The 27,194-nt window shown below is 46.9% G+C and overlaps 1 long non-coding RNA gene across 2 annotated transcripts in view, besides 2 other annotated features; it reads right to left on the bottom strand.

Moving 5' to 3' along the window:
* The window catches only part of LOC124902468 (uncharacterized), a 28,799-nt gene extending 12,833 nt beyond the window's left edge, over window positions 1–15,966 (bottom strand). Inside the window, exon 1 of one of the 2 annotated variants that reach the window (XR_007062212.1) lies at window positions 15,858–15,966. This is a non-coding gene — a long non-coding RNA (uncharacterized LOC124902468). Of the gene's footprint in view, window positions 1–2,504; window positions 2,544–15,857 lie in introns of those variants that run through there. The other variant, XR_007062211.1, reaches the window with a different exon arrangement.
* Window positions 14,314–14,923: a silencer, noted in NCBI's record as "silent region_2518". NCBI's record gives its function as "represses an Ori minimal core promoter by ATAC-STARR-seq in GM12878 lymphoblastoid cells {active_cell/tissue: GM12878}" and the evidence as "EXISTENCE:reporter gene assay evidence [ECO:0000049][PMID:35858748]".
* Window positions 24,384–25,315: an enhancer, noted in NCBI's record as "H3K27ac-H3K4me1 hESC enhancer chr10:80052421-80053352 (GRCh37/hg19 assembly coordinates)". NCBI's record gives its function as "activates a minimal SCP1, AML or CMV promoter by ChIP-STARR-seq in naive H9 embryonic stem cells {active_cell/tissue: H9 hESC(naive)}" and the evidence as "EXISTENCE:reporter gene assay evidence [ECO:0000049][PMID:30033119]".

Here is a 27,194-nt window from a genome sequence, read left to right as displayed (position 1 = left end):
AACAGACCTGCCAGCCCATATGAATAGTCCATAAAGAAGAATCAAACACATAAGGAGCTGATCCACTGAGATTCCAGGGTTTGTTATGTTACTGCAGCACAGCCCAGTCTATCCCAACTAGAGGCCAAGTTTAAGGGTGAGAAAAAGGTAGGTGGCATTGAGCACAGTGAACAATGGGGAGAATAGTCTGAAATAATACAGAAGTGACTACTGACTTGGGAAAATTTTTCTTGATTTTATTTTTTTTTTATTTTTTTTGAGACAGAGTATTGCACTGTCGCCCAGGCTGGAGTGTAGTGGTGCAATCTCCGCTCACTGCAACCTGCACCTCCAGGGTTCAAGTAATTCTCCTGCCTCAGCCTCCTGAGTAGCTGGAATTACAGGTGGCCGCCACCACGCCCGGCTAATTTTTTGTATTTTTAGTAGAGACAGGGTTTCACTATGTTGGCCAGGCTGGTCTTGAACTCCTGACCTTGTGATCTGCCTGCCTCGGCCTCCCAAAGTGCTGGGATTACAGGCATGAGCCACCACGCCCAGCCTTCGTGATTTTATTCTAAGTGTGATGAAAAGCCACTGGTAGGTTTTAAGCAGAAGCAGGCATAGCCAAACACCAAGGCAGATTGCCTTCCACACAGCTTGTAGACACAGGGAGCTTAAAGGGGCCTCAAAAGGCATTTCATCAACCCTCAGCTACTGTCTCACACTCTCCCACATTGATGCTTATAAGGAGTTTCCTGCCTCTTCTTGCACATTTCCACTAATAGGAAGTGCATGTCTTTCTAGGACCTCTCATTTTATTTTGGGATTGTGCTGAACTTTTTTTTTTATTATTTCCCTGTGACCTCTCTCTACTGGTAAACCCCAACAAATGTGAACACATCCCCTATTCCTCAGCAGCCAGCTCAGCTCTTCACAGAGCTTGCTGCCCTGGTTCTGCTCTGCTGAACACACAGCCACTGGCCATTGGCCTCCAAAAAATCTATCTCTAGCAGAACTGGATTCTGAAAGCAGAGTAGAGTATGGGATTATGGATCCAGGATCTCTGCACTGAGAGCATAACCAGGCCACTGTGCAACATTCCAGTGATGGATTCACAGGATCTCTTAAGTTTTCATCACCCTCCTTATATATCCCCTGGAGAAAACACAGGGGACATTTGAATCTCTGGGCCTGGTTCCCTCTGCCTGCCCTGGCCCACATCCCTAGCCTAACCTTCAGCTCCATGAGCTGATGCAGCAGGAATTTATTTACGAGCTCATTATCCCTGTGAATCATGTCCAGCTTGAGTTGGGACTAATAAGGAGCTGAGGAGTGGTCTTTCAAGCAGCTGAGCACATGAGGCCTGGGGAGAGGATGGGCCAGGACAAGCAGGGCCTCACTGCACCAGCAGCCAAGAGGGCAGATGGGAGCAGTGGATGGGAGGTGGCTCCTGCCAGCCCTGGAGTTTGTCCTGGCTCCAGCAGTTCTAGGGCTTTTCCAAACTCTGGCTTAATTCCAACACAGAGGCTGCAAATGGAAGATTTGGCTGGCCATTCATTCTTTACTTCTAAGCCCCAAAATACACCAAGGAATCCAAGAGGGGAGAAAAGCAAGTGACCAACATCTTTCTGACTTCTATCCCACCAGAGCAGCCCCTGCCCTCTGGCCCCTGATCCAGCAGTCCCCAGGTGGGAAGGTTTCACAGCGTGGTGTTATTCAAATGTAGGATATGATCATTAATCTATTCAAACTTACTTTACAACCATTGTTTTACTTGATGGCTGCACATAAGTTTAACCATGTCCATTTGAGAGAGAAGGGTTCAAGACTCTGAAGAAACTGGCCCAAGGTTGACTTGCAAGAAGTGGCACAGTCCAGGACTTAAACCCAAATCCTTAACCCTCAGCCCACTACTTAATCCAAGTCTCAATACCTGCCTCTTTAGTGAGCCTTTGTGCATTAGTGAGCCCAACCAAGACCAGAAATACAGAGTGATGTTACATCTTCAAGGTTTGCTCAGGGAAATAAAAACTCTCTGGGTCTTTGAAGCAGGAAGGTTATTTAATACAAGAAATAGATGCTGTGGTAGACTGTAAAATTGGCCCTGATGATTCTCTTCCCTGTATCCATGTGATATAAATTTGAATTCGGCCTGTTCTTGTAAAATGCATTAGTGAGTCCAACCAAGACCAGAAGAACCACTCAGCTGTGCCTAGCACAAATTCTGATCCACAGCATTGTGAACTAAATATATAATTGTTGCTTTAAGCAACTAGGTTTTGGGTGATTTGGTATACAGCAAATGTTATACAGCACTTAACAGAAATTTTGGAATAGCTGGAAAAAGGAAGGTCATTGGATATTTATATAATAAAGGTTCTCTATAAATTTTCAGAAAGTAAAAAAGTTGCAGGATCTGCAGCAGCTCCTGCAAGGATCACAGATGCCCCCAACACTGTTGCTTCAGGAAAATTTTGAGGTTGTTTTAAAATCTGCCATCTGCCAAAGCCCACCACTCTACTCACCACAGCTGAAGGTGAGTAACTCCAGGGCTGGCAGGAGCCACCTCCCATATGGCTTCGTCTTCTTTTCTGACTTCTGAATCTCATGCATCTGCTTCTCATGGAAAGATTCTAACCTGGAACCTATGTTTCATAGATTCCTGGAAATGTAGTTCTCAGGCTTCTAGCCCTTTGTGCAGAGAGGAGAGTGTGGAAGCATTGAGTTGTCACCCAATAATCCAGGCCCAAGAGCCTATTCTGTTCCAGGCATCACTTCTAAAGATGCTTAGCATCAAGAGGGACTTTCTATTCCCCTGTAACTCCCTCTACTACTCCCGATTGGTACTAGTTCTCCCTTTGGAAAGACATGGGCATTATTAGCTCAATTGATTATCATTTAAACTGGTTTGTCAGCTCCAACCCTCGTGAACCCCTATGAAGGTAAGACAATTTCACCTGTGTGCCTGTTATTCTACAGGTTGAACAGTAGAAGGAAGGAACAGAGTGCCTGGATGTGTTCACTAAACCCTATGCATTAAAATCTCCTTGCTTCCTCTCTCATCAGGCTAGTCTAGCACTCACCGCAACCAAGTAGTGGCTGCGGGTGCAGGTACCCAAAGGTGCAGAAGGGTTTGGATAAGTCCCCAGAAATGAGGACAACCTGCATCACTTCCTCAGCTGTCACTCTGCTGACTCCATCCTTCTTGTGTCTGTAGTAACAACTTTTGGGAGGAAGCAGCTGACAAAATCCAGTTCTCCCTGTTGTAGAGATGGAAACTGGTACAGGGTGTGGCAAAGTGTAGCAATGACAAGGTAACAGTGAAGAGCAGGGCCCCTTGGATATCCTCTCTTGGCCCTGAAGCCATTATGTCATACTAGGGCCTAATCATAATAGCCTGGGTTCAAGACAGACAGACAGGATTTGAGGAGAGGGGAGGTTTCTCTTGAGGAGAGAAACCAGTTCCTCTGAGAATTTGAATCTGTAAGAAATATGGACTGCTAGGTGTCTGCAGAACCTCTTTAGCAGAATTTGCTTCCCTGCTCCCCTGAAGGGTCAAGCTACCCAGGGTTGCCTTGATCTTGACCCTCTCCGAACAATCCCATCCACTCTTATGAACTCAATTACCATTGAAATACCCTCGGCTCCCAGATCTATCTCTTCAGGCCCACATATTCAACTGCCTGTTGAATATTGAGACTTGTATTGCCCACAGGGTCCTCCAAGTCAACATGATTCAAGCTCAGGACTTTCATCTAAATCAGTACCAATCATCAATTCAATTAGCAGCAGCATCAAGTCACCCAAGCCAAGTCTTTCCCCATCTCCCAGTTTGATTTCTGTAACCAGCTCTCCCTAATCTCTTGGCTTCCAGGCTTGGTTTCTCCAACCAGTGAGTCCTATCACTTCCAGAGGGAGCTTCCTAAATGCACACTTGTCATGACACTCACTTGACAGAAATATTCTGCTAGCTCCCTAGCCCCCATAGAATAACACCCCAACTCTTTGGTCTGGTGTTCAAGGCCTTCCCTGTGACAGTCTCTACCAACATCTTCAACACCATCACTTCTCACCTCATTCCCTGGCCACACCAGACTGCCTGGGATGCCCAAAGCTGGCTGGCACCTTCATGCCGTTAGCCTGCAACACCCTTCCCATGCCGCTATCGCCCCTGCCCCTCAGTCTGGGCTAGGTGCTCCTCCTGTGGGCTGTCATAGTACTCTGTTCTTACCATCCCTCTTTGTAATAATCTCTAATATGCTTGTTCTACCCCACAGAATTGGGAGCCCCATGAAGGCTGGGACATACCACCAGACTCATCTCTGTGTCCCCAGTCCATTAGGAGTAGACACCAACAAGTGATTGTTAAACAGGAGCTACCCCCAGTGCTGTGAATTTCATAGCAAAGAGTGTGTGTATTCAATCCGTAATAATAGCTCAATACTTTCGTACTTACTGTGAACCAAACAGTTTGATTAGCTCATTTAATCCTTACTACAACCTCAAGAGATATTATTATTATTCCTCTGATTTATAGATAGTAAATTGAGACCTAGAGATACTAAATAAGTTGCCTAGATCATTCAGCTAGCATGTGGTGAAATCAGGATTCAAAAGCAGGTGGTCCATGCCCCTAACCATTAGACATATAGCCTGTCTAGTATATATTCTTCACAGTAAAGTCAGCTCCCCATCACAACAGGGTGAGAGCCAGGGTGGGAAACTCTTCCTCTTTAATCACCTTCTCAACAAGTATACCTTATTCCACAAATATTTTAGGGAAGTGCTTGTCTACTTAAATGAGCTTTCTTGCTGCAAGACTTATCAGAGCCTTTAATATGCCAGCGTGCATATTAAGAGAAAAAAGATAAGTAGCATTTCCCGAACTCATTGGATCACAGAGCGTTTTATTTTCTCAGGCATCTGCTAGGAGTAGCAAACCATGGAACACACTTTGGCAAATGTTGACTCCTGGGTCCCATGCCTCAGGAGGCCCAGCAGCCCTTGTCTTGTGTGAGATAAACCAGATTCTTTCCAGTGAATTTCCTTCCCTGCTGAAGTTAACTCAAGTCAGTTTCCATTACTTACAACAATAGAACCTTGACTGAGTCATGCCCTCACTTCTCAGAAAGGCCAAACCTCTGGAGCGCGCTGGGATTACACTCAGGATAGAAGGCGAGGGAAGTGTCTAGGGAGGCACCAGCCTGTCAGATATGGTCATGGCAGGCTTCATCTGAGACCCACCACAGAGGGGTCATCCCCAGAAAAGCATGCTAAAGTGCTCATAGCTCTTTTTTGTTTTTAATTTTCCTTCCTGGTAAGAAATTTGCCATTTTTACATAAGAACTGTGACTTGTGTTTTCAGATTCCTGTAGCTGAGGTCATGTCCTTTGGACAATTCTATCCTGTTTCTGGCCATTGCCAATAGTTCCCCTCCCTCCGGGAAGTTAAGGGAGGGGGTCACTTGTTCCTCTCCCCCACCCGCCAACTCACCTCAACTCTGACGCATACACACGCAAATGCCCTACTTCTGCTTAATTTCCCTCCAAGCATGTTCTTTAGATGGATGAGAGATTTGAGGGCAGGGATTCTGCCCTCCCACAACCAGTGAACATTCTGTGTGGGTCTGATGGAAAGCCAGAAGCTCTGGCCATCAGAGCATCCCCTCTCCAGGTAATCAGATAGCTGAAGTTTGTTCTGGAGGCCGGCACAGCCTACTTCGAATGCAAGTTGAGCTGGGTTGGATGCTGCCAAGGTGACTTCTCAGAAGTTCATCTAGGAAAATAGAATTGTGCTAGATTTCTCCAACCCTCCTCTTTCAATCTGTCCTGACTGCCTGAGCCATGCTGCTTGGCCACTTAACAGAATACCACAGAATGGGTGATTTATTTGAAAGAAAGAAAGAAAGAAAGAAAGAAAGAAAGAAAGAAAGAAAGAAAGAAAGAAAGAAAGAAAGAAAGAAGAGGGAAAGAAAGAAAGAAAAGAAAGAAAGAAAGAAAGAAAGAAAGAAAGAAAGAAAGAAAGGAAGGAAGGAAGGAAGGAAGGAAAGAGAAAGAAAGAAAGAGAGAAAGAGCGAGAGAGAAAGAAGAAAGGAAGGAAGAAACAAAGAGAAATAAAGAAAGGAAAGAAAGAAAGAGAAAGAAAGAGAGAGAGAAAGAAGAGAGAAAGAAAGGAAGAAAGAAAGAAAAAAAAGAAAGAAAGAAAAGAGAGAGAGGAAGGAAGGGAGGGACAGAGGGAGGGAGGGAGGAAGGGAGGAAGAAAGGAAGGAAGGAAGGGAGAAATCCAACAGGATTAGGATCCAGAGCATTGAGATGAGAATAGCTTTGGGCAGGAGGGGGCACCCCTTTCATTGGAAAAGCTCTAGCTGGCCACCTCTTGACTTTGATGGTGAATCATTGATGCTCTAATGAGTTTGAGTTGACACAGATTTGTGGTACTAACAGTGGAATTCCAGGAATCATCAGTTAGGACACTTCATGGCGCTTCCAGAAACATACTTCTTAGGCAATCAAGCACTTCTAGACACATGTTTTTGTTTTTGTTTTTGTTTTTGTTTTTGTTTTTGTTTTTGTTTTGAGACAGAGTCTTGCTCTGTCGCCCAGGCTGGAGTGCAGTGGCATGATCTCGGCTCACTGCAAGCTCCGCCTCCCAGGTTCATGCCATTCTCCTGCCTCAGCCTCCTGAGTAGCTGGGACTACAGGCACCCGCCACCAAGCCCGGCTAATTTTTTGTATTTTTTAGTAGAGGCGGGGTTTCACCATGTTAGCCAGGATGGTTTGGATCTCCTGACCTCCTGATCTGCCCGCCTCGGCCTCCCAAAGTGCTGGGATTACAGGCGTGAGCCACCATGCCCGGCCAAAAAGCTCACTTTCTTGATGATCCCTATGGTAGCCAGGATTCAAAGATGCCCCCTGCTGCCAATGAACCATGCCTCCTGGTATTCAGATCCTTATATAGCCCCCACCACACTGACTTTGGCCTGGCCATATGTAACTAAGAGAATGCAATAGAAGTAACTCTGCATGACTTCCAAGACTAGGTCATAAGAACCTTGGACTTTGCACTTGGGGTCCTGGGACCCAGGGACCCTCAGTATGCTGTCAAGAAGCTTGAGCCAGCCATGTAGAGAACTCACATGGAAAATGAGTGATGCTGGCCAGACCCCAGCTGTTCCAGCCATCCCAGCCCAGGTGCCAGACATGAAGAAGCCATCTTACATGCAGAGAAAAGTGGAGGCTCTCACACAGTGCCAGCCACCCTCTGTGTCAAAGGCATCCCAACGGAGGCCTGTACATTGTAGAGCAGAGACAAAGTGTCCCTGCTGTGCCCTGTCAGAATTCCAGACACAAAGAATTGCAAGCATAATAAAACAGTGGCAGTTTTATGCTTCTAAGTTTTGAGGTGATTCGTTACACAGCAACAGATAACCAGACAGTCCCCTCTGACTCCTGTAACTTGCAGGGATTCTTCTTTACTAGCTTGCTATCACTAGCCAAACATGCACACTTTGCCTCCTTTTTTTTTTTTTTTTTTTTGAGACAGAGTCTTGCTCTGTCTCCCAGGCTGGAGTGCAGTGGCCTGATCTCAGCTCACTACAACCTCCGCCTCCTGGGTTCAAGCGATTCTCCTGCCTCAGCCTCCTGAGTAGCTGGGACTACAGGCATCCACCACCACTCCCAGCTAATTTTTGTATTTTTTTTAGTAGAGATGGGGTTTCACCATATTGGCCAGCCTGGTCTTGAACTCCTGACCTTGTGATCTACCCGCCTCGGCCTGCTGGGATTACAGGCGTGAGCCACCGCCCCCGGCCTGCCTCTTTTAAATAATAATAATTATAATGAGGAGGAGGCGAGGAAGGGAAAGAAGATGGGGACAAAGAAGGAGGAGAGGGGAAAGGAGGAAAAGGAGGAGGAAAAAGAAAAGAAGGGAAAAATCAGAAGGAAAGGAGCAAGAGAAGAGGAGAAGGAGAAAGAGAAGGAGGAAAAGGAGAAGAAAGAGGAGGCAGAGGAGGAGAAGAAGGAAGAGAGGGAGTAGAAGTAGGAAAAAGAGGAGGAGGAGGAGAAGAAAGAGACACCCACAAGCTGCCCTGTCTCCCATCAGCTTCCACCTTCTCATCTTCCTTTCATGACCAAGCTTTCTGAAAGTGTTTACCATATCCAATTCTGCACATTTCGTTCTCTCCTAAACATCGCATTCGGGCTTACACAGTCACATACTCAATTGAATTGAACGCACTCTCACCGAGGTCACCATGGACCCGATGAACACATCGACTGCACGTCTCCAAATCCTCATCTAAATTCTTAATGTCTTTGCAGCATTCAGGCCAGGATCCTACCTCCTTCTTGAGATGTTTTCCTTGGTGGGCTCCTCCAGTGCAGCTCTCTTCCGCTTTCTCTCTGAGACTCCACCTGCACAGGCTTAGTCTCTGTCATGGGCTCCCTATCTTCTGCTCACTCTCTTTGTTATTTTTGTGGGGAAGCCCTATAGAGGTAGTGTATTCTCGATTTCCAAAGGTATAAAAATGTGTGTAACAAGAAGTTTCCCTTCTCATCCCTGCCTCCCAATGGTGAGGTTCCTCTCCCCAGAGACAACCAACATTATCAGTTTCTTATATATTCCTCCACAGACATATTAAGTAGAAGTGTGCATGTATGCACACATATGTCTACAAATTCTTCCACACACACCCCTTTACTTTTTCACAAGAATGGCAGTATTCTATGCACACTGAAGTATGTCTTGCTTTCTTCACAACAACCTATCTTGAAAATCTTTCCATATCTGTACATCACAGGAATACTCATATATGCATGCACCTGATTTGTCTTAACATCTCTCTTTTGATGCCTATTTGGGCTGCTTTCAGTGTTTGCCATTACAAACAATGTAACAACTCATCTTACATGCATCATTTTTCATGTATGGGAATCTCTCCATAGCATATATTCTTACAAGTGGAATTGTGGGGTCAGAAGCATTTGTAACATCCGTAGATATTCCAGATATCCCCCCATTGAGTTGTACCCCCAAATTTTCACTTCAATCAGCAATGAGTGTCTGTTTTCCCATCCACACAGTGTGTTATCCACTGTTTTGATCTTAAGCAAACTGAGAGATGAAAATGATGTCTCAGTGAAATTTTAATTGTATTTCTCTTATTATGAGTAAAGTGGCATATTCTCCTAGGTTTTGATAACTGTTTATATCTTGTCCATCTATCTTTTGGGTTATTGATCTGTTTTATAGTGATTTGTGGACACTTTTTATGTTATGAGGAAATATGCTTTTTGTCAGTAATATAAGTTACAAATCTTTTCAAAGTCTTTTAGCTTTGTGTATGTTGGGGTTTTGCTACGCAGAAGTTTCGTTTTAAAAGTTAAAATTGGCCAGGTGCGGTGGCTCACACCTGTAATCCCAGCACTTTGGGAGGCTGAGGCAGGCAGATCACAAGGTAAGGAGATCGAGACAATCCTGGCTAACACGGTGAAACCCCATCTCTACTAAAAATACAAAAAATTAGCCGGGCGTTGTGGCAGGCGCCTGTAGTCCCAGCTACTTGGGAGGCTGAAGCAGGAGAATGGCGTGAATCCGGGAGGCGGAGCTTGCAGTGAGCCGAGATCGCGCCACTGCACTTGAGCCTGGGCGACAGAAAGAGACTCCATCTCAAAAAAAAAAAAAAAAAAAAAGTTAAAATTATCAGTCTTTTCTTTTATGGCTTCTGGGTCATGTGTCATACTTAGAAAGTTCTTCCATTCTAAGAGTTTTAAAATTCTCACATTTCTGGTACATTTATTATATTATCATTTTGTTACAGTTACATTTTTGTTTCATATGGAGTTTATTCTAGTATAAAGTATGAGATATGGATCCAACACTTTTTTCTAGATGGTTCTCCAGTTGCTTCAACTCCATTTATTGAATAATGCATATGTGTAATTTCTGGAATTTGATTTTGTTCTGCTGTGTTGTCTAGTACTACATTGTTTTATATAATATAGTTTTATAGTATGGTTTAATACCCGACAGGGCAAGGTAGCCCCTACTCCTTACTATTCTGCTTTCAGATATTTGCTAGTTATTCTTCTTGTCAAGAACTGTGAAGGGTCTAAGAGGGTTTTTACTCTGCCTGCAAACCAGCAAGTTAGCCTGTCCTGTTTCTGTGCTGGCAGAAGACACAAGACTTCTGAGTCAGAGACAAAGGACTTTATTATTCGTGGCAATAGCAGTAGCCAGAGTGTCAGCATTTGTGATGGTTACACAAGCCCCAAGTGCCACAGTATGACAGGTGATACCTGCACAAGCAGTGAGTTGTGTTACAGGAGAAAAACTTTCAGTTTAGAGAGCCTAAATCTTTTACAATGGGCAGTAAGCTTGCCTGATTTTTGCCCTAGAAGGGGACATTATCTTTGTTATACTGGACAGTAAACAAATTGCTCTTTGCTCCAGAGGAAAACACTATCTCTATCTTCCAAACATGTTCACTAGTCTGTCTTTACAAAGATAGTCTGGAACAGAGGTAGTCATTACTTCTGCTCGTGCAGAGGCCTCTCAACACTTATTTATTTTTCCATATGAGTGTTATAATCAGTTTGTCTAAACAACAACAACAAAGGCTTCATTTTTATTGAAAACCTTATTAAATTCTAAATTATCTGAGGGAGAATAGACAATTTTATGATGTTAGTTTTCCATCCAAGAGCATTATTCAAATGTTTTTTTGTCCCTTGGAAGCATTTTAATGCTTTCTCCAGTTAGATTTTGCACATTTCTTGTTATGTTGATTCCCAGGTTTTTTATCTTTTTTGTTGCTGTTATAAATGTGTTCTATTCCCATTTTATCTTCTAACAGGTTGTCATTAATTCTTGCTCTTTAAATGAATGGTTTCCCTCCAGAGTCCCCCCTCTCCCTTCTTCTCTTCTTATTTCTAAGATTTTCCCGGATGATCTCATTCTTTCCCAAAACTTCAGTGAGCATCTGTCAGCCGATGCCTCCATACTGTCATCTCCAGCCCTGGACTCTCTCAGGAGCTCCTGGTGCCTATGCTCTGGACGTCCCACAGGCTCTTAACATCCTGCCAGCTTTGAAATTAAACTTCTCAGCCTTCCCATTAGACCAGCTCCTCCTCCTCCTGAACTCCAGTCTCGGTCTACAGTGCCACCACTCACCCAGGTGCCTCCCAGTAAAAGGGGGAGGCCTTCCTTCACCCTCTTTTCCACTCACTCATCAAGTTCTGTCTATACTTCCTCCTCAGTTTCTCTTTAATCTGTTCCCTGACTCCATCCTCACCGCCATGGGCTGATCTCCACACCATTGACTGAGAAGTCCCCTAGGTGACTACCCAGTCTTACATCTCCTCCCTGGAATTTCTTCCTAGCTTGCTGCAGGAGTGGCCCACGGTTGGAATTATGCCATTCTCCAAAGGCTCTAGGATCAAACAAGCTAGCACGGAATCCAGGGCTGGCTATTGGCGACCTGGTCTCTTTCCCCAACACCTTGAACTTCAAGTCTTCCATTCCTACACTATCCTGCACCTGCACTTCTGTACATCCCTATGCCTTAGCACTGACCTTCACCTGGAGTATCTCAACCCGCCACTGCCTTCTCTACCTGGCTCCCTCCTATACCTCCCTAACAATGCAACTCAGGTGTCAACAACTCCAAAAGACTTTCCAACACTCTCATCTGGATGAGATGCCTTTCGTTCATTCATTCATTCATTCGTTTACTTCAGTAGGCATTTAATTGATTTTCCATTTGTCAAGCTGTTAGCTAGGTACCAGGGATACCAAGATGAACTGAACACAAGTCATTGCCCTCTAGGGACTCACTATCCAAGTATTTGTTATTTAAAATATAGTCCTGAACCAGCACCATTAGCATCACCAGGGAGCTTGTTAAAAATACAGAGACACCAGCCCAGACCAGCTGAATCTGCATTTGGAAAAGAGCCCCAAGTGGTTCATGTGCCTGATAAAGCTTGAGAAGCATTGGTCTGGGTGGTATGTAAACAGAGAAATATGACAAATGAGGTTAAGTGCAAAATCAAGGCAATATATGCAGGGTGCTCTAAGCAGATCATGAGAGAGAGGTAACAACTGAATATAAAGGGAGGCTGGAGGGTCTGGATAGGTGAGCTCAAGACAGAAAGCAGAGTTGGAATTGTGGGGAAGGGGATTTCCAGGCAGAGAGTACAGCTTGGGCAAAGGCATGGAGGGGAGAAAATGTGTATGATAGGTGGGAGTGAAGGGTCCACTGGCTGCTAAATGTGAGGTCTGGCAGACACAGGACGGTGAGAGAAAAAGCACACATCCAGCTTTACTTCCTAAAATTTCACCCTAGACCCATGGCTATCCTTTCAGCCACCCACAGTGAATGCCAGGTCATGAAGCTTGGATGTGCACCTTAAGAGTGGAGTGACACCATGTGCATTTCAAAGGCAGCAATGAAACTGGATTTAAGTTCGAGGAGCCTGCAGCCTGGGAACCTGGCTAGGGGACACAAGTGTGCAGACCAGAGGTGACACCAAACCAAACCAGAGCAGAGGCACCCTGGGTGAGAGGAGAGCGCAGACTCCAGAGATATTGGGGAGGTCAAATTGACAGGACTGAATGTGTGGAAGATGCAAAGAGAGGAGCAGGAGTAATTCTCAGCATCCTGTCCTGGGTTGGTGAAAGTACAAACCAACCAAGGTGGGAGCAGCGGAAGGAAGAACCAGCTAAAGTTAAAAAGCACTGGTATTGACTGAGCACCGGATCTGTGTTGGGCACCACACAGATTGCTTTGTGTAAATTTCCTCAATTAATCCTCACTGGGCAATCCTCAAAGCAGGTACTATTATGGTTCTCAGTTTGCAGAGGAGGACACTGAAGGCACAGAGGGCAATTACTTGTCCAGGGTCACACAGGGAGGGAGAAGGAGAGCTGGGATCTGAGCTCAGGCTATACCCACTTTGGACACCCCACCTGAGGTCACCCCACTTCACAGACTGGCTTTGGACATGCTGAGAGTCAAGGACATGCCAGATTTCCAGTGGAGAAGAATAAGTGAGACAGGCGCTCAGGTGAGCCACTGGGCAGGGTGTCAGCCCTCAGAGGTAGCCAGAGCCCTTGAGTGGATGAGATGATGCAGGAGTAAGGGGCACCAGGACTGGTGGGCAGTGGGTGACACTAACATCCACATAGCTCCCCACTGCCTCTTGGGCTGCCACTCGCTAGTTTAGCCAGAGCCTGACATCATGCAGACACCCAGAAGCTTCAGGAACTGGCCTCTCCCTCAGTGAACCAGGCGTCCCCACCAGGCCAGAGGCTGAGAGGAACAATATCAGAGAGGGGAGACAGATGTGCCAGAGCCAGGCAGGAGCCAGCTTCAGGGGCACCTTAAAGTAGAGGAACCCTGCTCCCCCTCCCACACTTCAGCTACAGTGATTGCAACCCCATCTGCACTTTCCAACTAGGTGGTAATATCATTACTCCCAAGCCGCCATCTTCTCAACTATAAGATGGAAGCACTAGCGCTCTGCTCTCGGAGCTGTCAGCAGAACCACACGTGGTTCTGCTGTGGTGAACCACGTCCTTGCGTGAAGAGGGTACTTTGCAGACTGCAGAGGGATTCCTTATGGCTGGCAGCACCCCCCCCCCCAACATCATACAGTGGAGAGGATCTCCTTGCTGTGGACATCAGGGCTAAAGCTAGTTAGCCCAGCTCCAAAGTCAGGGCTAGGGCTGAGGCTCCACGTGGGAAATCCTGGCTAGGGAAGAAGGAACCAGCATGGGGAGGGGGCCTTTGGGTGGAGGTAGGGGAACTTTAATCACAGACTGAGGGATACCCTGCAGCTCAGCCCCAGCGCATTGTGATAAGCTGGGAGTATGCCTTAATTTTCCCGAGCTTCTGATTTTGCAAAAGAAGCCAGAAATCCAGATCTATAGGTGAAATCTCCAGGTTTTTTATGTAGTTTCTCAAACGCAACTAATTTATAAGTAGTGTAAACACTGGGGAAGAGGGGTACCTAGTCCACACTAGATCCTGTCTCAGATCTAAATTAGGCGCTTTGTCCCTCCCTCAACCTTTGGCAAGAACAAGGGCATCACTTGCTGTGCCTGTGAGTGTATATATAGACATGCCCATGGGTGTTCCTATATTTGAGTGTGTAAGCAGTGCATGGCTGCGCGAGTCCACACGTGATGCGTGTACCTATGTGAACACACTCAAAGACATTTTGGAGGTAAGTCTGTGGGCGAGCACGGCCCCCACGTATGCGTCTGTGAACACGCATGAACAAGCACAGGTGTACAATGCATGACAGCACGTGTGACCGTGGGTTCGTGCACCTGCGAGTTAATGCACATGCATATAGGCTCCGGTATGGGCCGGTGTTTGCAGCCGCTAGTGAGGCCGTCCGGGGGCAGGGAGGCATGACTGTTCCCTGCACTGCCCCTGGCGGGGAGCCGCGTCCTCGCGGGCTGGCTGCCAAGGGAGCGCTCTGGAGGACGCGCATGCGCGATGGTGGGGCGGGGCGGGGCGGCCCGGCCGGCTGGAGGTCGGGCGGCCTCTGCCCTTCGGAAACCAGGGCATCGATCCTGCCCGCCCCGCGCCCCCGCGCTGGCCCACAGAGCGGAGGGAAGGGGAGGGGAGAAGAGTGGGGAGGAGGCGGCGCGGCAGCTGCGCCCCGGGCGCTGCGGGAGGGAGGAGCGCGGCGCGCAGCCGCGGCCATTAGTCACCAGATGTCACCTTCTGCTGCCAAGGCGGCGCCTGGCGCAGACAATGGCCGCGCGGGCCGAGGGGCGGGCCGTGCCGGCCCCAAAGCCGCGTCTCTGCTGACACCTACAGCCCCGCTCCACTTTCCGCCGCCCCTCTGGGCCCCTTTGCCCAGGGCCTTTCCCGCCGCCGCGCCTGGCCAGCACCAACTTCCCCACGTCCCTTCCCCCAAGTCCGCGTAACGCCTCATCTCTCAGGGCACAGCGCAGGTGTCACCGCCTGCATTTCCTGGCTGTCCTCCCTGCCCCTCCTCCCATTCTCATAGCCTCTTCTTCCAACTCGGATACCCAAGAGGGGCTCCCCTGCTTCCCCAGACTGGGCTGTATGAGATCCGCAGGGACCTTGCTTTCTTCTTGTGCACCTGGCACTATGCCTGACACTCAAGGCTGGTGCCTGGGGTGGCACTGGTGCCTTCCAATTTGCAGGGGAATCACGCTAGATGTTGAAGTTCATTGCCACCCACACATAGCTGCACTTGACCCCATGCTGAGATAAAAGCCCTTCACCCTAGAAATCCAACAAGGATCACTGAGCTTTTCCCTGGGTACAGATATCCCCCCAAAATATAAGTGGGAAAATGAGTGCCCTAAGTGTGGCAGATTTTTACAGCTCATTTTTAAAATGTCCCCCACCACAGTGCTTTGAGTCCACAGCCACAGCTCGCATGCAGCATTGGGACCACCAAATGTGGAGGATGAAGATGTGCAGGACCAGGAGTTCCTCCTTGGACCTCAGGACCCTAAGCTAGGAGTCGTCAACTTTTTCTCTAAAAGGCCAGGAAGTAAATATGTTAGGCTTTGCCCAGCCATGTATATTTCTGCCACATAATCTTTGAGTTTTGTTTTTACAACCCTTTAAAAATGTAGAAATCATTCTCAGCTCAGGGACCATGCAAAGGCAGGCAGAGGGCAGTATTTGGCCCTAGTTTGCCTCACCTGTCCAAGACCCGCAGAACACCAGTAGCCAGAGAAGCAAGATCACACGGAAGCACACTAGGGTCAACATCAGTGTCAGAGAAACCTGAGCTGGAATCCTAGGTCACCCTGGGCAGCCGGTGATGCTTGGTAAATCGTGCCACCGCGCAAGCTTAGGGGTAAATGGGAACATCATTAGAACCTACCTTGCAGGTTTGCAGGAAGAATTTCGAGCACAGTGCCTGGGTGGGTGCTCACTGTTTTTGTCCCTCTGTCACTCAGCGTGTATGTGTCTGTGCACACACACACGCCTCTGGCAAGAAGAGGCTGACCCATGATCTCTGGAGATGCTGCCACAAGATAAGGAAGTCTTCCAAGCCAGACAGATTGAAACTGAAATCTTGGCTCTGCCCTTGCCTGGCTGTGTGACCTCCAGCAAAATACTGAACCTTCCTGAGCCTCAGTTTCCCCATTTAAAACCAATAGAATATCAGTACCAACTTAGTCGCAGCATGCCCATCGTGACTTATCGAAGTTACCTGTGAAGGCACTGAACACAGTGCTTGACACGTAAGAAGATGGGCAGAAGGGGTGGCTCACTGTGGCTGTTGTGGTGTTAGCCTCCGTGGTGGGAAGGCAGGCTCCTCCAGGAGAGGGACTGCTCGTTCTGGCACTCCCGAAGGGCTCCAATGTCAAGAATGCAGGGCTCAGCCTGTGATCCAGAGCGTAGTGTCCTTCTCAATGTGGCCTTGAGGCCTTCTTTCTCAATGCTGGTAGCCTGTCGTTGCTCTCTCTGCCTCCCCAGCCCTCAGTCCTCTCAGAAGAGCACTGCCCAGGTCGTGGAGACACAGGCACTCCCGAAATCCCCAAGAAACCCAGCCTCCCTTCTGTTTGGTTTTGTTTGTTTGTTTCCTTTTAAAAATAATGTTTATTTTTAAAATTTGTCTCCGAAAGGCATGCGCAGTGTTAGAAACAATCTGGAAAAGAATAGGAATTTTTAAAATTACCCTTTATCTTACCATCACTGAAAAACAGTGTGACCATTTCGTGCAAGTTCTCCAGGCTTTTTCCTATGCATAGCACACATTATGTACCTAGGTCCACATTTTTGTAAAAAAAAAAAAAAAAAAAAAATGGGAACATATGCTGTATTCTGCAATCTTTTTTTCTTTTCACAGAATACAGCTTGAACATCTCCTCATATCCTTGTCTCCTACATTATTGTTTTTGATGCCTGTATAATATTCTATCATAAAGAGAGCCAAACCATTTTATAAATCAACCATCTATCATCAGAAGCAACACAGATATTTTAAATGGCAATGAGTCAAGAGAATTTCCAAGACTCATGAGCACATCTATGAGGGAGGATAGTCAACCCAGAATGGGAAAATGGGAAGGGGTCTGTATGCAGAGAGAATTTTCTTCACTTTCTCCTTGAGGGTCTCAGGTTCTCCACCAGCAAAGGGCCATATTGCTCTCCTGGACGCTCCAGGAATGCCCCTGAAGCTCAGCTGCTCCCTGGGAGAGGCTTCTTAGCCATAAACATGAAGTCAGCATGGCAGGGAAAAGAGAGCCAGGTCTGCCGACTCAGGGACCAGTGGCCACCCTGTGGTGCCATGCCACACAGCCTCAGTGCCTTGCCCCACTGCCATGTGAAACATGGTGCTCAGGTGAAACATCTCCCTCCAACACAGCAAGAGGAGCCCAGTTGTGAATCCTGGGGAAACAGAAAGTGAAGGGTGAGGCCAGCTGGACTTCCTGGGTCAAGTGGGGACTTGGCAAAATTTTCTGGGTAGCTAGAGGATTGTAAATGCACCAATCAGTGCTCTGTGTCTAGCTAAAGGATTATAAATGCACCAATCAGCACTCTGTAGCTAGGATTGTAAAACGTACCAATCAGCCCTCTGTGTCTAGCTAGAGGATTGTAAATGGACCAATCAGCACTCCGTAAAATGGACCAATCAGCACTCCGTAAAATGGACCAATCAGCACTCTGGAAAATGGACCAATCAGCAGGATGTGGGCGGGGACAAATAAGGAAATAAAAACTGACCACCCCAGCCAGCAGTGGCAAGTTCCTTGGGTCCCCTTCCAGGCTGTGGAAACTCTGTTGTTTCACTCTTAACAATAAATCTTGTTGCTGCTCACTCTTTGGGTCTGTGCCACCTCTAAGAGCTGTAATACTCACCGCGAAGGTCCACGGCTTCATTCTCGAAGTCAGGGAGACCAAGAACTCACCATAAGGAACTAACTCAGACACCAGAGACAGACACAGAGAGGAAGGAGGGAGGGAGGGAAAGAGAGAGAGAGAAAGAAAGGAAAAGGGAAGAAAAACTCTGTGCAGTCAACAACCCTGCAGCTGCCAGGGCAAAGAGGAAGTGTGACAGGCAGGCCAAGGCTGGGAGCAATCTGAGGTCTCTCTGCTGGTCTGAGCTCTCCTGCCATGAGGCTTCAAGCTGGAATTTCTAGTCGCATGACGTTGGGTAAGCCATTTCTCCTCTCAGAGCCTCCATTTCTCTAAAAGTAACAAGGAGGTGAAATAGCTACCCACATACATTGTAAGGCTGTGTACACAGCAAGGACTTCTTAAAGGTTCCTCACTGACCTGCCTCGGCTTCCATGCTGGGCCCTGACAGTCAGATGCCAGGTATCTACTGGGTGCCTAGTATGTGCTGGGTGCCTGGGGTGCAGAAAGGAGGAAAACAAATGGAATGCCTGCCCTCACAGCACTCAAAATTAATGAGCAAACAAAGCATTTCCAGTAAATAAATGATTGTTAAGTGTGTGATATGGTATGAAGAAGTGTTACATACCCTGAGAGTACCAATCACCTCTTGTAGTGGGAGACTCGATGTGTCACCCAGAGGCTGGAGTGCAATGGCACGATCTCGGCTCACTGCAACCTCTGCCTCCCAGGTTTAAGTGATTCTCCTGCCTCAGTATCCTGAGTAGCTGGGATTACAGGCAGCGCCACCACGCCCAGCTAATTTTTGTATTTTTAGTAGAGATGGGGTTTCACCATGTTGGCCAGGCTGGTCTCAAACTCCTGACCTCAGGTGATCCACCCACCTCAGCCTCCCAAAGTGCTGGGATTACAGGTGTGAGCCATCGCGCCTGGCCAGAAGCAGTCATTTCTACGAGAGGGAAGGATTAGTAGGAATAATATACAGAAGAAAAGTCTAGGAAAGGTTGCTGCAGGCAGAAGAAGTGGCCCTACGGTGGAAAAGGACATGGCCTGAGCCGAGGCTGACCACAGACCAGTGGGGATGGAGTGTCAAGAGTCGGGGCAAATGGCTAAAGATGGGGCTGGAGGGGGCAGGGCCTTGCCGGCCATGGAGCTGTCTTGTAAGAGTGTATCAGGCAGGTATGTTTGAGGAACAACAAAGAGGCCACCAATGAGCAAAGGTGAGGTAAAAGGGCACAGGTCAGACACAGTCTGAAGCTAGATTATTCTCAGCTTCATAGGCCATTGTGAGCATTTGGGCTTTTGAGTAAAATGGGAGCCATCGAGAGTGGGGAGAGTTGAGGGGAGGAATGGCACAGTCTGAGAAGTTTTAAAAAGGACACTCTGGAAGTTCCTCTTCCAGTGGAGTGGAGTGATCTCCTAACAGGTATACCCTTCCACAAATAATATCTATAAATTCTGGATATAATACAGAAAACAATTGCTGGAGGGCTCTGAAATAATCAAAATGATCAAAAGACCAGAATGACCAAAAGCAGGCAGATTTTGGAAGGATGTTGAAACTTGTAAGAAGGGACCAGTATGTGGTAAGTTTTCCACTTTGATGACTTTACCCAGAGGGCAGGCTGCAGCTGTGGCCTTGTTCAGGGCTGCTAAAAGTCCAGTAGAAAATGCTGTTTATATGGCCTGAAGAACCAGAGGACAGAACCTAGAGCAACCAGAGCCCCTGGAAAGGAAGGGGGATTTTCTGGAAAGGAAAGTGCCAGAAAAGGCCCAAATTCTGTTAGTAAACTCTGATCAAGTATCTGGCTCACTTCTGAATCACACATGCATAGAGAAGATTCAAGACAACTTGCAACTAAGGCTTAAAGAACTGAGCTGTGATTTGAGGTGCAGCCCACTAAAGGCAAAACAGTTAGTAGTTTGAGTCTAACCAGGTGAAATGCCTGCTAATACAAAGACGTCAGCACTCTTTGGAGGACTATGACAAACTCCAGAATCTCTACAACATAGCATTTCCAGTGTCCAGGATAAAACCCAAAATCAACACACAAGAAATTAGGAAAATATAATCCATCCTCAAGGGTAAAGATAGTCAATGGAGATCAACTCTCAGATGACCCAGAATTTGAAGCTATCAGACAAGTACCACAGTTATTATAACTGTGCTAAACAAGGCAAAAGAAAATACATTCATAATAAATGAAGAGATAGGAAACCTCTAAAGAGAAATAAAAATATAGAAAGAACCAAGTGGAAATTCCAGTACTAAAAAATACAATACCTGGAATATTTTAAACAATTACTGTATAGGCCTAAAACAGAATGAAGATGGCCGGGCATGATGGCTCACGCCTTTAATCCCATCACTTCAGGTGGCCGAGGCAGGCAGATCACTGAGGTCAGGAGTTTGAGACCAGCCTGGCCAACAGGGTGAAACCCTGTCTCTACTAAAAATACAAAAAATTACCTGGACATGGTGGCGCACAGCTATAATCCCAGCTACTCGGGAGGCTGGGGCAGGAGGCCTTGACCCCAGGAGGCAGGGAGCTGAGATCATGCCACTGCACTCCAGCCTGGGTGACAGAGCAAGACTCCATCTCAAAAATAAACAAATAAATAAATAAATAAATAGCTGTGAGCTTAAGTTGATCAACAAAAGCCATTTAGCCTAAAAAAAAAAAAAAAGAGGGCAGGGGAAGGGGGGGTATAAAAGAGTGAACAGTGTCTAAGAGGCCTGTGGGATAACGTCAGAGATCTAATATATGCATAATTGGAGTGCCAGAAGGAAGGAGAGGAATAAGAGAGCATAATTTTTTTTCTTAAGAAATAATGGCAAAACGGCATGGTGGCACAAACCCACCTGCTCAAGAGGCTGAGGCTAGAGGACGCTTCAGCATGGGAGTTCAAGACCAGCAGCCTTCTCAGAAAAAAAAAAAAAAAAAAAAAAAAAGAGAGAGAAAGAGAAAAAAAGAAATAAATAGTGGCAAAAAACAACAACACCCACTTTGCAAATTGGTGCAAAACAAATTTACATACACTCATTCAAACTGCTAAAATAAAAGATAAAAAGAAAACCTTGAAAGCAGCCAGAGAAAAAAAGACACATTACAAAGAGGAACAAAGATTCAAATAACCACAGACTTCTTACCAGAAACTATGGAGGCCTGAAGCAGAACACAGTCATGGGACCTCAGATGGAAAATATTTTTCAAAGATAAAATATAACAATACAACGATAAAAAAGAGTAAAAATTTTTAAATGATACAACAACTATTTACATAGCATTTACATTGTATTAGGTATTATAAGTAATCTAGAGATGTTTTAAAGTGTATGAGAGAATGTGCAGAAGTTATATGCAAATACTATGCCATTTTACATAAAAGACTTGAGCATCCACGGATTTTGGCATCCATGGGGAGGTCCTGAACCCAATTCCCCACGAGTACAGAAGGAGCATTGTAACATCATTTAAAGGGCAAAGAAAAAAAAAAGCTGTAACCCAGATTTCTAAATCTAGTGAAAATATTAGTTAATAAGGAAGGCAAAATACATTTTCATTTAAAAGAAAATGTATGGATTGTGTCACCAGAAGACATGGACTATAAGAATACTAAAAGAAGTTCTTCAGAATGAAGCAAAATAAAATCAAAGAGGCACTGGATCCTCAAGAAAAATAAAAAATAAAAAACATCAGAAATGGTAAAATATTGCTAAATATATAAAATTATAAGTTAATTTTCCTCTTAATTTCCTTAATATGCAGATAACTAAAGCAAAAATGATAACATTGTCTTATAGGGTTTATAATGTATATAGATGTAATGCATATGAAAACTATAGCATACAATGGGGATGGCAAATATTTGTAAGAGGTTTATATTTTACATAAAGTGATAAAGTATTAACTCTAAACTGACTGTGAAAAGTTAAGGACATATGTGTAATCTCTAGAACTGAAAAAAAAACCACTTTAAAAAATGCAAAGTACTATAGCTAAAAGGACAAATAGTTGCGTGAAAAGTGGAATTCCAAAACAATCCCCCTGGCTTCTGTGCAAAGGGTGATAGCAGGCAGACTAGTCAGGGTGTTACTGAATAATCCAGGTGGATGATGTTGCTGGCTTGGACTAGAAGGGAGCCGTGGAGATGGTGAGAGGCAGTCAGATTCTGGATGGATTCTGAAGGTAGAACCCAGAGGATTCACTCATAGATTGGGTTTGTGGTGTGAGAGAAAGAGCCAAGGATGACCCTAAGGCCTGTGATCCTATAAGCTGTAGTGACAGAGCTGCGTTTAGTGAGACTACAAAGAAGACTTTTCTCCTCCCTTTCCCTCCCCAGTTCTCTGTGGCTTCTGAGACCTGCAGCAGCTCCATGTTTGGGAACCAAGCTGGGCCGGAGGCTCAGTGAGGAAAGAGACGGGGACAGAGTCATATGCCACCCAGCCTAGCCTTCAAGTTGGAGCAGGGATGACAGAGCATGTGTGCCTCTCGGCAAGGTTCACGTCAGATCAAAACATCATCCTTATGGCTTCTCCCAGCTTCCAGATTTCCGTCTCCAAGAATCCCTTCCCCATGAGAAGTAATTGAGAAATAATTGCTAATATTTCACAGAGATGGAAGAAGCCTCAGCCCCAGCCTCTGGAAACAAATTAGAGATGTGGATGAGGTTTAGAAACAGAAAGCGGCCCTGCTTCTCATTAGCAGTTGCAAATAAGATTACAGAAAAAATGTTTCTGCCATGAGGATGGCGTCCGCCTGGAAAAAATTAAACCAGTTGCAGGGTAATTTAGAGACCCCGGACCAGGATTCAGATTCTGGGTTGGGGGTAGGGCTCTAGGACTAACTTGCCCCAAATCAAAGAGCAGATCTGCGGCAACCTGTCTGAGCCTCAGTTTCCATGCCAGTTAGATGGGAAGAGGCTGTAGGACTCAAATCTGGAGATGGACAATGACTTATGGGTGTCAGCCACTTTGGGCAGCCAGACAGCCCAGGCCCCACCAGCACAGGTAGCTCAGACTCACAGACATGTGAAGACAGCAGGGAGCACTGGCTTAGAGGTCTTTGCCTTCCCTGGCCTGGCCTAATGCCCCTATATCCTGGCTCCATCCTGAGTAAGAATGGCTGACATTTATCAAATGACAACACTGTTCGGAATTCTTCATGGGAGTACATTTATTTAACCCTCACAACAACCCCATGAGGTAGGTACTATTAATATCCCCACTTTATAGAGAAAGAAAGTAAACTACACAAAGGCAAATTAACTTGGCCAAGGCCAGACAGCAAGCAAGCTGCAGAGCCAGGAGAGTGAACTCAGTCTAATTTTAAAACCTGTGCTCCTAACCACCAGCCTATCTGGCCCTCTGAGGCTTGTGGGGCTCCCTAGCTCTGCCCCCTGACTTCGAGACTGCAGAAGTTTTAGCAGTTAGTCCACGGAAGGTCCCAGGCTCCGAAGGCCCCGTAGACTTAGGTGTGAGTTCTGATTCTACCACTTACATCTACACAACTCTGAGCCCGTGTTTGCTTGTGTGTATTTTTTTAAATTAATTATAGATTTGTCACAGACTTGCTCTAAGGAAGAAAGAAGACCTAGGTATAAGAAATCAGGCTGGAAACAGTGGCTTGTGCCTATAATCCCAGCACTTTGGGAGGCCGAGGTGGGCAGATCACTTGAGATCAGGAATTCGAGACCAGCCTGGCCAACATGGCAAAACCCCATCACTACTAAAAATACAAAAATTAGCCAATTGTGGTGGCACATGCCTGTAATCCCAGCTACTCGGGAGGCTGAGGCAGGAGAATCACTTGAACCCAGGAGGCGGAGGCTGCAGTGAGTCGAGATTGTGCCACTGAACTCCAGCCTGTGTGACAGAGTGAGATTCTGTCTCAAAAAAAGAAAAGAAAGGAAGGGAGGGAGGGAGAGAGAGAGAGAGAAATCAGGCCCTGTCTAAGGGTCAGTTTCTCCCCCTGCAGCCCCATCTCTGGCCAAGAGCTAAAGGACCCTCAGGGATCTTTGAAATACTCTCACCCCTCCAGGCTTGTCAGTCCTCTTCCTGACCCAGCCCCAAGCCCACCCCTGAGTGAAGCCCTCCTCTGTTCTCCCACCTCAAACCCCACCCCAACCCACACGCAGCACTCCTTCCCGGGCACCTGCCACTCCAAGTGTCACCTGTGTGGTCCCCTTTCCATCCAGAAATGTAGCACTCCATGGCTACCTGGTCTTCAGGAGTTTTCCCATCCCTCCTTTGCCATTAAAGGTGGTGTTTGAGGATGGCCAAATTCTGCAGCCTGGCTTTCAAGGCGCTCCCTTCCCTAGCTCGTGCACTCTGGAGAAGCCGACCTCATTTCTGTAACCTCCCCAGGGTTCATTGCCCCTACACACACTAGAGTCTTTGTCCAAATCCCTCTCCCCAGCCCCCACCCAGAAGCCAGGAGAAGCGGATGGATTCTGAAGTACTGGAAGAATATTCTGGCCACAGCTGCCCTGGAGACAGTCCATGAAAGGGAATCCTGAGACCAGGGCAGAGGGATCGGGTTACTGGAGAGCTAATCTGATTAGAGCCAGTCAAAGGGGGAGGGGGTGGGCAGTGGGGACAGGAGCCTTGAGACTGGAAAAATAGAGTAATAGACCGAGATGTTGAAGCCGGATATGGGGACAGGGCAAGGAGAGGACAGAACACATAGGGAACAGAAGGACCTGGTTTCCAGTCCCAGGTCCAGCACTTACCTGTGCCTACCAGCTGGGTTGCCCCGCATAGGCCACCTAAGCTCTCTGAGGCCCAGGATCTTATTTTAAAGTCAGGCCAATCTACTCAGTGCCCCAGGATTGCAGGGGATTCTATAAGAAAGCACAGGGGACCATGGGCTGGGTGCTGAGCTTGGCCCTGCCAGGGCTTTCTAAAGGGAGCTTCCCCTCATCCCCTCTCCGTGGACAGAGCAGGACAAAGTGGCCCCCATTGCACCCTGGGGGCTGGCAAGGACCCTACAGCAGCCAGCAGCTGGGTCTATCAACCTGAGAGAGCCTCTGCCCCCAGGGAGGCTCCTAATTTAATCAGCTTCACAAATCAGCTCGATGGGCTTAATTGATCTTTTTCACTCCTAATATTGTCGCTGTCACTTTCTGAGTTGTGCCTCCCCCAGCCACCCCCTATGTCAGCCAGCTGGAGAGGGAAAAGGAGCCCAGAGGCCACAGTGGGAGGGAGCTGTGGACAAGAGGGTGAGGAGGGCAGGGAGAGTGAGGGAGGACTCAGACTGACACCTCAAGCCAGACTTTGGGGACTGCGAAATGCCATGGTGGGAGTGAAGAGCAGAAGGGCTTCTAGAGATTAACCTGGCTGGGGCATTAAGCGCATCATTCTAGGGCTCTCCGGGGCTCCACTTCCTCATCTATAAAGATCACAGCAGTACTCTGCCTCTCCAGATCCATTCAATCTCCATGCATTTGTTGAACACCTACTATATTCCAGACATGGTGCTAGCTAGACACAGGGAACGATGGTTAGCAAAAATAAACCTGTCCCAGACCCCATCGGGCACTCTAAGACAGGCTGTCCTCCCCTAGGTGACATCCCCATGGAGCACAGACTAGTGGGGGGTCTGCCATCAGTGGAATAAGTACTTGAGCACATGTCAAAGTGCAGCAGTGAGAAACGCTATAAAGGGGAAGTCCCTGGTGCTGTGTGGGTGGATACTGGGTGAGGGTCGGGGTGGGGAGGGCCAGGGAGGGCTCATGGAGGAAGCGGTGCCTGAGTTGAGATTGAAAGAATGAGGTCAGGCTGGGCGCAGTGGCTCACGCCTGTGATCCCAGCACTTTGAGGCCTAAGCAGGTGGATCACCTGAAGTCAGGAGTTTGAGACCAGCCTGGCCAACATGATGAAACCCTGTCTCTACTAAAAATATTTTTTAAAAATTAGCTGGGCATGGTGGCAGGTGCCTGTAATCCCAGCTACTGGGGAGGCTGAGGCGGGAGAATCACTTGAACCCGGTAGGCAGAGGTTGCAGTTAGCTGAGATCGTGCCATTGCACTCCAGCCTGGGCAACAAGAGTGAAACTCTTTCTCAAAAAAAAAAAAAAAGAAAGAAAAGAAAAAAAGAAAGAAAGAAAGAATGGTCAAGTTATCTAAATGAAGAGGCAGGAACAACATTCCAGGCAAAAGCCCTGTGTCTTTAACTAAAGCTGAAAGGGGCTTAAAGCTGACCATGTGGCTGTGAGCTAAGAGGAAAGGGGTGTGGGCTGCATGAGCTTAGATCAGGAGCTCCTATATGACTGAATTCCCACATTTTTTATGATGCCCTATGGTAAGAAACACATTTTGCTTGCTGACCCGGAACGTAGAACACACACATGTGCATACATGTGTAATTACCTGCATACATCCACTTCAAAAAGACTGATGAAGCAGTTATTCTTGCCACATTAAATGTGACCTCTCTGAGAGTTTCTATTCTATTTCTATTCTAGCTCATTCTATGTCTTTGCTTTAAGGTCACAAGCCATGACATTGATTTCTCAGCCCCCTGATAGCTCATGGCTGCTGGTTAAGAGGCCGTGTGCTTGGTAGGGTCTGGTGGGCTGCATTCAGGAACTATGTCCTTACCCCACAAGCAATGGGAAGCACCGGTTCTCTGAGACACTCTAATGAGACTTGCCTGCTGAGGTCACCCTGGCTGCTGCCAGGGGGAGTCATTTGGAGGGGCGGAAGGGGAGTCAGGGGACCAGGGAGGAGGCTGCTGCAGTAGCCAACCCAGAGATGGGGGCAGCTTAGAGCTAACTGGTTTGCAAAGCCATTCAGGTAACAGGTATGAAAAACTGTGCCAACTAGAACAATGTTTTATGAAAAGCTGCCCAATGGCACTGCAAGATTGCCATATCTAGATTCAGGCAACCCAGGTACCAAGACCAGCCGCATCATTTCCCACTTGTAATCTTGGAAAAATCACTTTGCCCCAGTGGGTCTCACTTTCCTAACTGTAAAATGTAATGTAAGAGTCCCTATCCCTTAGAGGCATTGCCGGATTAGATATAATGCAACGTGCTTGGCCAAATGTCTGGCCTGTAGCAAGCACTAGATAAATCTTAGTTATTAATATGGATGGACATGTTAGAACTCATTCAGTCTTCAACGGATTCAGTGCCCATTCAGTGCCAGGTGTGGAAGAGATGATGGGGAATAAAGTCACACAGCCCCTGTTCTGCATTCCTGGTCCAGGGGGCATTTCTAGAACCATAATAGATTTATTTTGGTCAAAACTGATTTTTAATCTGACAGCTGCCAAGCTCACCTGGCTATGCTCTCCCATTTACAAGGTGCTCTCTCATTACAACTGGCCCAGACCAGTTAAGGTTCCTTT

Source organism: Homo sapiens, chromosome 10 (assembly GCF_000001405.40).
Source record: "Homo sapiens chromosome 10, GRCh38.p14 Primary Assembly".
NCBI lineage: Eukaryota > Metazoa > Chordata > Mammalia > Primates > Hominidae > Homo > Homo sapiens.
The sequence above is the reverse complement of the archived record's forward strand: the minus strand, read 5'-3'. Positions and strand labels throughout refer to the sequence as shown.